The sequence below is a fragment of the Homo sapiens genome, chromosome 8 (genome assembly GCF_000001405.40).
Source record: "Homo sapiens chromosome 8, GRCh38.p14 Primary Assembly".
Classification (NCBI taxonomy): Eukaryota; Metazoa; Chordata; class Mammalia; order Primates; family Hominidae; genus Homo; species Homo sapiens.
Genome location: NC_000008.11, coordinates 13,592,516 through 13,605,000, shown reverse-complemented (window position 1 = coordinate 13,605,000; position 12,485 = coordinate 13,592,516). Strand labels below are relative to the sequence as shown.

General features: G+C 32.7%; 1 protein-coding gene across 2 annotated transcripts in view; it reads left to right on the top strand.

Moving 5' to 3' along the window:
• DLC1 (DLC1 Rho GTPase activating protein) overlaps positions 381-12,485 on the top strand; it is a 521,260-nt gene continuing 509,155 nt past the window's right edge. For both annotated transcript variants that reach the window (NM_001348082.2, NM_001348081.2), the window contains exon 1: positions 381-464. The gene's annotated coding sequence lies outside the window, so the exon portion shown is untranslated. The remainder of the gene's footprint in view (positions 465-12,485) is intronic.

The window sequence follows — 12,485 nt, the reverse complement described above, 5'->3', positions numbered from 1 at the left end:
CTTCCTTCAGAAGACTTCCCTGTTTCATGAGGTAGGGGACTGAACTGCTTACAGTTAAGCCTTTTTCCGATTTTCATCCCAATCGGGGAAAAAATTAAAAGGCAAAAAATACATTGTGGAAAAACTTCAAAGCAATTAAAGATCAGTCTTGTTTTCATGTAATCCTTGTTTCAAAATATTCTTCATACCATAAACCTCAGTGAAATATATGGCAATTCCTTCCATGAGGCATGAATACACCCACAGCTGATTGTAAACACAAAACTGGGGTCAACAAATGGAGAATGGTTTCATTGTCTGGAATTGCATTCTCTGATTGGAAATAGTCCCTTGGGAATTCATTACTGAGGACAAGTCCCACCCCTTGAAATTGCTGCTGAGCTCACTCATGATTATCAGACAACACATTGGCAGTGAGTTCATCTGCTCTACTCTGCTTTGGAATAACACATGTGATTAACCAGGTAAAACTCTTTTCCTTCTACTTTATACTTTGTATCATATATAACAATATACTATGTGCATTATTATGTTAGTAGTTTGCATGTTAAAGTCTTTCTAAAAATATTGTCACATATTTTATTCATGAAATGAAGTTATAGAAGGAAAGAAAAATGTCTGTGACTAAATACACATAAAAGAAGTTGAGATGCTCAGTGTCACTGTCTGACATTGATTGAAACTATATTCATCCAAAAATGTGTAATGCTTTCTCATGGAAATATGACATATTAACAATAATTGATCATTGTAATCCTCTGTCACATAATTTTTTGGAGAGATGATTTCTGCTACATAGTTCAAAGTGAAAATATTTGTTAAATTTAAAGGAGATGATAATGTGTTGGAGTTTTCAATTTTACTTTTGTTTCTACCTCTACTATTTTATTGAATAATTTCAGCATATCATAACATTATCATTGCACTTTGGAATAATTTTATGTATGTTTACAGTTATGTTGATTAGAAAAAAATATTTTTATATTTTTCTTATAAGCTTTTTCATAGAGTTTGATCAAAACCTATTAAGTACACCATTTACCTTTTCTGACAATTAGCTAATGTACCAAACAGACTCACGCAGTCCAAGAGAAATATATTACCAAGCTTATATTCTCAAAGGCATAGCTTTTTAAAAATTCAGAGCCGCTTAATCAACAAGGTTACAAATGAAATGATCGGTTGCCTTTGAGGTTGGGAGTTAATTGAATGAACAGATACCATGGCTTTCCTTACAGCAACCTATAACACTAATGGATAAGCTAATTTTTTCTTCCCTAAAGTAATTGCACAGTCATCTTTAATTTAAAATCACTTGCATTTACTCAGTTAGTTGGTTCCTAACAGGGCAAGGGTCTTGAACGTTTATACTGGGGAGATTTAAATTGCCACTATGATGTAGAGAGCGAAGACATTTTAGTAAAAGTAATTAAAATTTAACATGCACCTTTTTTGTTATATTGAATATGTTACCAGAGTTTGCAAGGAAGGTAATATTGGCACAAAATTAATCTTACAATACCCTAATTTTAATATGATTACATTTCTGTTGATTCAAGGACTTCAGTTTCCATACCAGCTAGGAAATTCTAAAAAAAAATTAAAGTAAAAAATCAGTGACTCCCATTAATCAAACTCTGTCTATATCAGTGAATTGTGTGTAAGAATTACCATTTTAATATTACCAAGACTCGTAATGAATGATGATGTTAACATAATGAATATTATGTTAGAATATACTCAGAATGAACTGATATTAATCATAGTTAATGATGTCTAACATCACGATGTTAGAAACACTACATAGAAATGGATGACAGTAAAAGCCAGCATTATTATTCCGTGTGACTTAAGAGTTCTTTTATTTTAAGAAAAAGATAATATTCTAAACTTTATTAAACAAAACAGCATGTTTGTGAACAATTTATTTATACCTTGATTATTTTTGTCATATCAACAGTTGGGTTATCTAAGTTATTGCCACGTAAAATCCCTAAAGAATTTTATTACCTGACATCCAAAATAAGTTTTCAACCCAGCACAAAGACCTTTCCCTTAAAAATTCAATTATTTTATCACTACATGTTGAAAACTGTCCGATGACAAATAGAAATGTATTATCTGAAGATACTTTCATCTCAATAAACTCTTTTTAAGTAACGTGGGATAAAAACTCTTTTCCTTAAAATCTTCACAGTATTGGAAAATACAAAAAGCCAAAACTCTGGGAAATATGATTTTGAAAAAAATTATGTTGTTTTATTTTGTTTTGTTTTAGCAACTGGGGAAAAATTATCTTGTCATAACTTTTTAAGATACATAAAAATTCTGAGCATATACAAAAAATGTACAGAGCAGTATAGTGAACTTCTAGGTACTCAGGACTGTTTTGACAATTAACACATAGAGTCATTCTTGTTTCATATACAGCCACTTCAACTTGTCCTAATTTCCATGTATTTTGATGTAAACCCTAGACATCATGTCATTTTATTTGTAAATATTTTAGTATTTACAAATCGATATTGTATACATCTCCAAAAGGTAAGCTCTCTTCTTTAAATTACTGGAATGCAATGATCACAGTTTAAAAAATAAATAACATTAATGTCATAAAAATAGTAAGTGGATAACCATCTTACAGTTTCCTATGTGTCTTTTTTGGTATTTATTTAAATCAGCATCCAAATAAGGCCTACACATGGCAGTTGATTGATTGTTTGAGATTCTTTTAGTCTAAAAGTTCTTCTTCTATCTCTTTTCCTTCACACATCATTGAAAATAGCCTAAATTTTTGTCTTATACACTTTTTCTTTCTGGATTTTGCTGATTGCAATACCATGGTATTGTTTAACATGTTCCTCTGATTTCCCTGTTTTTGTAAACTGCTATTTGAGGCTAGAGAATTGCTCAGATTCATGATTTATGTTTGGCTGGGTACTTTATAGCTGGCCTTGTGTTCATCCATCAGGAGGCACTTAATATGTAGTTGTTTTCCTTTTTATGACGTTGGTAGCCATTGGAGCTCAATGCCATATATTTTAATTGGAAATGTGAAAGCATAGAATTAATTCTGAAAAATAGTGGACACATTAAAACAACTTATGGAAAAATGACCAAAAATGAAATATAAATATTGCATCTGGGTTATATAGCCAGCAAAATCACCAAAGAAGGGTGTTTTGCTGTTGTTGTTGTTGTTATATATGATTGCATTTTCTAGAATTTGAAATTATATATAGTAAAAATTAATTGTCTCAGGTTTTTTAGAAAAGGCACACTCCAGTTGTTCCCCAACCCCTTTCTTCTGTTTTCCTTTTTTGTTGTCGTTGTTGTTTTGTTTTGTTTTTTTTTTGTCTATTATCCTGGCTCTTTACTGGACTCTTTGACAAGTTAGCCAAGTTACCATCTCATATCCCAGCTTCATATTGTAAGTCTAATTACTCTAACAAGTGCTTTCCAATGAATAGTAGTGTTATGATAGCAATGATGTTTCCAGAAATCAAAAATAAGGCACATAGTCTGAAAAATCCTTTTTGGCCCATCTCTAACAATCCGGGAACTATGGCTTGCATGCTGAAACACTGGCATTTCTTTAGAAGTTCTATTATTTATGAGACTAAATGAGTAGACTACTTTAAATCACAATTTTCTCAGACAGGGCCCTATACACTGAAGTATAAGATAGCATCTGTTTACTGGAAGACTGGAATTTGAGCTCAAGAGCTAGTCAGAAATCTGATTATGGAAACTAAAATATCACAGACAAGACCTAGAGAAAAGCTAACTTACTGGTGAGCTGACTGAGCCTTATTGTATTAGAACTCCTTGACACCGCAGACTGAGTATTATGTTAGAACTGCTTGACACTGCACACCTAAAATAATATTAATGGGGACGAAGGTGTGTCTTTAGGAGGGCTTTATATGACTTTACGAGATTGGCTCAAAGTAGATAACCATTTTTAAAAAGTTTATGAGACTCAAAATAAATGAATATGCATGTGTTAAGAAGTACTGAATAAACAAATAATAAAATATAAATTAAATTGGGAAAATACTCATGATTTGGTAAAATGAATACTACATATAAAATAAGTATATGCCATTTGAAGTAGTAAATGACTGTACATTACCAATAGGCAAATATATACAAATAAATGCCCTGATCAGTTTTGCTTATAAATCTACACTTGTATATTTCTGAAAATAAAACTGAGAAGGAATTTCACTGTAGATAAGGTTCATGAACATCCCATTGCTTAATGCTAAAAAAAAAGATTTACTTTAAATAAAAATTAATTCTTCAAATACCAAGATTTTGAAAGGCATCAAACTAAAATAAAATCTTTTCATTAGAGAGAAAATAGTCATGTACAGGAGTGCAATGATCTATTTTTACATTGCCACTTTTTCTTTTTTCAACTGCATCTGTACCACATTGTGATTTGGGTGAAGATGACTGCTGGAGAACCGTGCTAGTAACTGACAGAAAATGCAAAACGTCTTTGACGTTGCATTATTTTAAAGTTTCCTTGGACACTCTTCGGTTGTAGCTAATTTTCTGGGGTCCAAATAACACGAATAACCATACATTTCTTTTAATGAAAATAACTAAAATAACAGCCTTACTGAGAAATTTTAATTACTTCAGGTCCTTATTTCCCCCAGAAATTCATTAACTGGTCTCTTCTTACTTAAAGTTTTGATCGTTGAATTCTATATAGTCCATGCCTTGGGATAATTTATAAGTTAAATAAAAGACTATCTGAGAAACAGGTATGTCTCTTCATAGTGCACTAGCTTAAATCAAGATTCACAAAGAAATAATAGAGAATTACATACTTTGGGGCCCCTTATACTCAGAATTTTTGGTACAACTCCTAAAAGAAGGGGACCATGTTTCCTATTGCTTTCTAATGACACAGTTTAGGGTTCTTCAGATACCTCCATTCATGTCAACTTCTCCAACTAACGAAAGAAAGTAGTGCTTCTGATTTCAGGCAAGGCTCATTTGATAATGGTGAAGGTGGTGAAGATGCTAAACCTGAATGATACTGTTCAATAGGTCCATACCTCATACAGACTGATACATATATAGTAAGTTTGAGATTTTTTTCCCTTCTCAACTATACATTTTAGTTAGTTATCATATAAAAATTTTTATGTTTTTTCTTTCTTAAGAATTGCTGTGGCTACTAAAGGACCTTTGCATTTCCCTATTGAGAATCAACTTGTCCATTCCACACCAATGAGAGGTTTATATATACATTTGGATAGAGTTGACATCATTACAATATTGAGTCTTCCAATCCATATGCAAGGTATATGTGACCATTTATTTAGACCTTTGTTAATATCTCTCATTGTTTTACAATTTTCTTCATAAATGACTTCTTCAACTTCCGTAGTTTATTTCTAGATATTTAGGTTCTTGGTTTGTTCTTTGTTCATGCCTTCTTCATTGGGATTTGGTAATAAACTTACAAAAGAAATTAGGGCACTCTGTCTTTTTATTCATCTGGAATATTTTAACTAACACAAAAATGTTAGAAAGAACCACTTCATCCTAACATCCTTTTTAATGACAAATCATTCATTAAAAATGTCCCATAGATATTGATTTGTACAGGTTTTCTTTCTTTATCAAAATAATTTTTAATAATTTATTATTGTTCTATGGCACATGCATTTTATCCAAATGTTCATTATTGACATGAGGCTGGCATAATGATCTTTATAATTCCTTAGTACCTTCTATAATTGTGAATATATTTGCTTTATAAATTCCAAAATCATGTTTTTTTCTTCCCTTTGTCTTATTCACACATGTCAGGGGTATATTTTTATTCTGTGTCTTCCCATATAAGCAGACGTTTTTTCAATCAGAATGCTAGTTTGTTTTATAATTCATAATTTTCAGATTTTATCTTATTAATTTACTTCTGCTACTTCCTTTTGCGTTCTTCTTTGGTACCTTAGTTAAATGTTTAAGTTACAGAAACAATTAATGCCATTATTTTTCTCAGAGTATAACTATAGGTTATTTTAAATTGTATATTACATATACAATTTCATTTTTTTATTTAGAATAATGAAAATATTAGTTCTGACATTTTAACATGACTCAACAGCCAAAAAAAAGTTTTAAATTATTTTTCAGAATTTTAGTTCATTCATGGAATGAGGCAGAGTTGGTGTAACAATATGTACTAGGGAGTTGACTTGGAGTTGCTTTGTCACATTCTAAGGCCAATGCATAAATTGATTAATTAAATACTAATTATTAAAGCAAAGTTACAAAAGTAGTAATGCAATAATAGTAAGTATTATATTGAGTTATGTAAGAAAAAATAGTGCATGCAAATGTAAATGTGTTCATCAGCTTATGGATTGAAATAAAACTTTCAAAGGATGGTAACTCTTTTGAGGTAATTTTACCATGTTTTCAAGATCATAAGAGTAATAGATTACTAAAATAGTAGGTTATTCTAAAAGGGACATAAAGAATCATTTATCAGTCACTCCTATATCCTATTTAACCAAGAAACTCTTTCCTCAAAGCAAATGTTTGTTGGCTGTGTAAACAATGAAACTGACAAAGCCTCAGCTTTTGTCTAAGTGGTCCCCACAGAGACAGGTAGAGACACCCTTGTTGTGTTTCCTCCCTGTCCCAGGCTGCTCAGCACAGGGCAACCCTAGAGAAGCCTCTGGCTAGCAGCAAGCACTAGATGCTACTCTTACATATTTACAAAAATTAGACAAATTAAGAAAGAGATGATGAAATTTTATTTATATCCCATTTTATTTTTATACTCTTCAAAAATCTTTTTTACTTTACATTTTAATAATTTTAATTGTTTGTAAAGATTTGTACTATTAATTCAAAATCTCTAGAAAATAAACTTCTCTGCTGGATGAGAAAACTGAAGCCTAGTGGCGTTTACTTAGAAACAGGACAGACCACTACAAGTGGCGGAGCAAAATTAGTAATCAGACTCTTGATACCGATTTTATTTTCGGTGTAAACATCTTCAATCCCAATAAATTATTCACATCTGCATCCCATAAAGCGGTGACTAAATTTAGTTGTTGCATAGATCCCTTATTGTATATATAATACAATTGCAAATATTCCATGTAGCAATTCAAATTAAAAATAGATCAGCATGTTTCTATAAGTTTGTTTGTTACTCAGTCCTTCTGTGCAGTTATGAAATGTATTTTGAGTAGGGGTTAGCAAGATAGTGAGATACTGACTTTAAATTAAAACATCTTCATTAAATATACACACATTTTCTGTATCATAATGTCATCTGTTATTATGGTCAGTGCCTCCCATGTGTGTGCATCCCATAATTCCATTTAAGCATTTATCCTCCATGATATATACACACACATTACAATGTAAAACACACTATGATCTTTATCTTATTGTGATTATACAAAATAAGACTTGCTAGCTTTAATTTAACTCAAAAGGGTAAAACACCCAGAGTTACTATTATGCTGACAAACATAGCTCAGGAAACGAGATGGTATTTCAGGCTATTTTTTTAATATGCATTTTAACATGCTATTAGAACTAACTCAAGTGGCCAAAGTAGCAGTCTGAACAAAGATTAGATGGCAAACTGTTGTAAGAAATGGGAGAAGCAATACGGTTCACGTCTTTGGAAGGCCTAATCACGTCTTCTGTCATTCTTCTAGCTTCAAAATTGTCCAATGTCAGTTGCAATAAAATGTGAGATATAAGCTGACAAATCTATCCATCTTTCATTTATTTTACAAATTAAGTGTGGGCATTCTGATTCTGAATGTTAGAATTATATCAATAAATTTGATAAGAATTTTGGCTCCTAAACTGCAAACGTAATAGCATTAAATATATGGCCAGTCAAAGTCCAAGTGGACATATTGAGATGAAAAATATGAATTTACTTGTCCTTGCTGCATTATGTTAAATGAGGAACAGGATGACGTCAGAGTGCCAATCTCTCCTTCAAACAAACGAACATAGAAAAAACAAAAGAGTGTATCTGCATCACAAGAACTTCCAGAGTTCTGAAAGCATTCTGATCCACACTCCGCAGGCATTTAATAATATAGAACAATTGTATGATTCTAAAATAATTACCTCTACCAAAATTTACATTATTAAGACATTGACTATGACAAGTGTTTTTGCTAAGAAGAATTTCTTGAGCTCCAACTTCTTAGCTCAACCCAGATTTGTGTGAAGTCTTATGTGTGATCATTTTTAGGCCCATATGCCAGGGTTTTAGATGGAGGCTGAAGGTTCCTAGGAAAATTTATAAAGTACAGAACTTTCATTTGAAAGACTCCCAAATTTATCTCAATAAGCATATCCATTCTCCTTTCTGCCTCCTTTCTAAGCTCACATGCTCTCATTCAAAGCACAAGCACTCTTTAAAAAACTAGTATTGTTACTCTGCTAATTTCTTAAAGAGTTAAAGAACTAGCTTTTCCATGAAATCATCAGTTACCTTTAAGAAAGGCCTCTAAGGAATCTGATTTTCAAAATTCACAAACAGGATTGGAAAAGTTCCATAGACCCTCTATGGAAGAACCTAAAATAAAACACTTGAGGCTGAAGTCTGTTTCTTCAAGATGTTTAGAATCACAGGACTGAGGGGCTCTGCCAAGAAAAGCTACTTTTCCCTCCTTAAACTGTCTCCAACCTCGCCAACCTATTAATTCCTTCCAGAAGGCAATATAATAATAAAATGGAAAGCCATTTTTAAAGGTTCCTAACATCTTTCTATAAAGAACAAAATTTGGTGCTAAGACAGGCACCCAACAATTGACTATAAGATGTGATACCATTGAGATTAATATATTTAGCATGTTAACTCTCTCTACATCACTCTTATCATTTTCATCTCAAAAGAACAAATCCAACTGAAACTTAGTTTAAAACTTATTTAATTCATAGAAATATTTAACTCATCATGTGAAAGTGTAGAAGATATATGTATATATGTTTGTGGGGACTGCATGTATGAAAGGAGGAGATTTCCTAATATGTTATTTTGTATAGATTGCTTTTGTGTGATATATTTAGAAATGAAAATTCTGATGTGGTAACGTGCAATTATCATAGGCTGCCTACAAGATTTATTGGAAACATTTTATTTAGGTTGATAACATTTGTGAGTCTACAAGAAAAAATAATGTACTGTTCTATTTAAAGATGTTCTTTAAGATAATGCAATGCAATAAACCCCAGGCAATTTTTGGCATTGTGTTAAAAATACATATTTTCACAATTAGTAATCTTTGTCTATTTGAGAGAATGTTTATGTTTAAATATGTATCTCTAGTAGTTACCAGCATATCTTTCACCCAGACTCAATAAGAGTCGAAACTGTTCAACATATTCAGCATATGTTCCTCACTTTTTCCCTTAATCATAAAGAACTCAAGATTAAAGATAAATTTTAACATTTATCTGGTATTTATCTCATTAATGGCTAGAATATTCAAAGCAACACATGTGGGGCACATTGTCAAATTTCTTTTTAATTCAAAATTCTGAACACAAAATCACTTTTAAATACTAAAAGATATACAATTTCTGTTTGCATAACTATTATTTCCATCATGCAAAGATGCTACACTCACTGATGTTGGTAAGACAGTTCACACATTTTCATGAAAATGAACACATTTATAATACCACAGTGGGAAGAATTGTCACCTGACATCTGAAACACTACTGTCTTTCTAAAAAAAATCCTTGTGATTTTTGTTGGAAAAAAAATTAAATGTGCCTTTCATTTGGGAATAGGAGTGAGGGCCATTGGTGCCATTATTTTTAGTAATCTTAATGCTTGTGACTGTAGTAAAACAATAATTATTATAATTTCACAAGTGATCATTGGTCATTACATTCAGATTCTCTGGCGATCTGAAGAGAAAACTGCGGTGTGTGATCCAGGCTAGTCCACTTTTTTTTTTCTCACAACAATTGAAGAAGTCTATACAGAAATATATAGAAATTCACAAGAAAATAGGAATCAAAGATTAAGAATCAATCAATAGTCACATTGAACATCAACTTCCACAATCTCCAAAACCTGAAAGGGACGGTGAAATAAATTGTAACTTATACATGCCTTGCATAAAATTAAAAATAAAATAAAAGCACCCTGAAATTAGATCATTTCTTCTAACTTGCTTGAAAAAAAACCTCTGCAACAATCTCCATATTGTAAATATGGGTATTAAAGGTGTTCAGTTGCTGTCTGTGAAGTAGCCATTCTTTTCTTTCTTTACTTCTCTAATAAATGTGCTTTCACTTTAAAAAAGAAAAAAGGTTTTCAGGATATTGTCTTGAAAAGACAGTAAAGTCAAGAAGTTTAGGAGGAAAAGAAATGTAAAATGCAAAATTAAAATGAGGGTTACAGACATGAAGGAGAAGACTTACGCAGAAAATCGAAGAACTGATACAAAGCCCAGACTTGTGGTATTCTCTCAGAATGCAGAGGAAGGAAAAGAGACGAAAGCAATGTGGGAGAATCCAATAAAATGAGGATAGATAGTAGTAACAGAAGCAAGGAATTACGTTGCCTCACAAAAATCAATCAAAACAATGGCCATAGAAACAACATTTACAGAAAACTCTTCTGAACTGATACAGAGCGAAGTAGGCTGCATTGAAAGGTCTGTCAGTGTCTCAGGCAAAATCAATAAAAAGGCCTATACTTCAAAAGGTCATGAGGTTTTCTGTTTGTTGGAATCAGACAGTCTTATATTTGTTTATTCTTATTCAGGTTTTATCACTATCATATAAAAAGAGGATCTTTTTTCCTTCTTTTGAGACCAGGTCTCGCTCTGTTGCCCAGGCTGGAGTGCAGTTACAAGATCATGATTCACTGCAGCCTCAACTTCCTGGACTCAAGCGATCCTCCCACCTCAGGACCCCTGACTAGCTAGGACCACAGGCATGAACCACCATGTCCAGATAACTTTTTATTTTTTTGTAGAGACAGGGTCTCACTAAGTTGCCCAGGCTCGTCTTCAGAGGATCTTTGCATTAGCAGTTTCTTTCCATTTTCTTGGCCTGTGCTTTATCACAGTATTCTAATTTTACCTTGATGTTCAACAATACATCCAGCATGAGAACACCCACATAGATGAAATCTTTGCCCACACCACCTCAAGGATGTGCGAAATTGATTTCCTAATTTCCTGATTAATTTTCATTGTTTCACTTCTGAGTATAACTAATAACCATATGTCTTTCCTCTTCAAAATAAGTTTTCAAATAAGGTTGTTTTCATAGTAACCCACTTTTAGGTACCAATTCTGTATGAATCGGGCGGGGTTCCATTGCACTCTAATAATGAACAATCTCTTAAGCTAAGTGACTCAATACAACAAAGGTTTCTTTGTTATTCAAGGAACACATCTCTTCACTCTTTCACATTAGCCTGTCTTTGGCATCCAGGTTACCTAGAACTGGCAGGTTGCTGAGTCAGAGTTGGAGAAGCGTGAATTGAATCTTAAGATTTCATCTAGAAGTAACACATATAACGTCCACTCAACATTTCACCGATCAGTGCAAATTGAATGGTTACACTCAGCTTCTGGGGAGCAAAGAATTGCAATCCTACTTTGTGCCCAGAAGAACTGGAAATATTTGCTGGACAAAACCAATGGCTAGCACATATTCCCAGTAGAACTGAAGCAGTTAATTTCTCTGATACTTCTAAAATTGGTATGCTGATAAAGAAACCAAAGGATCCATGCATTTGGAATTAGGGATGCTAGATTTCTTCTCCACAACACCTCTTGGCCTGCTGCTAATAAAATGGGTGATGGCTCTTATTAAAATTATCAACTGGAACATAGATTGGGTGGGGTGAGGTGAGGAGTACTGCAGTGTAACTTCAGAAGAAATTTGAACAGCCTTGCTACTTCAGACTGTAATATCTTATTCATACGCCAAAGCTAAACTCCTTAAACAGAAACCAGAGAAATTGCACTTAGGCTTGGAAATATTTGGAAGAAAAAAGGAAAGAGGGACATAAGGGTGTGACCCTGTTTGAAGAGCATGACTCAGTAAGATTTCTGGGATTAATTATAAGTAATAGAATCAAATAGAATAATTGGGACGCTAACATGGCAAAATGTGTGTAACAGAGACAAATCATTGCTTAGCCACAAAACAAAACAAAACAAAATCCTAGGGCTTTATAAACTGCACCAGAAAGAAACTGTTGGCTTGGGCAGTAGTGTCCTCTGCTGAACACTGCTCCCAGTGCCTTCCTTAAGGGCAGGACTCATAATACCAAACACTGGAAATCCTCTTACTGGGGAAACCTTGGCAGGCCCCAGATTAGCTATCCAAGACTTACTCTATAGTTTCAACAAATGGCTGCTCAGTCACCAAAATATGTTTTGGATTAATTAAAGAGCTAAAGTTTTTTAAAAAAGGAATTTCTAAAATAGAAATATATT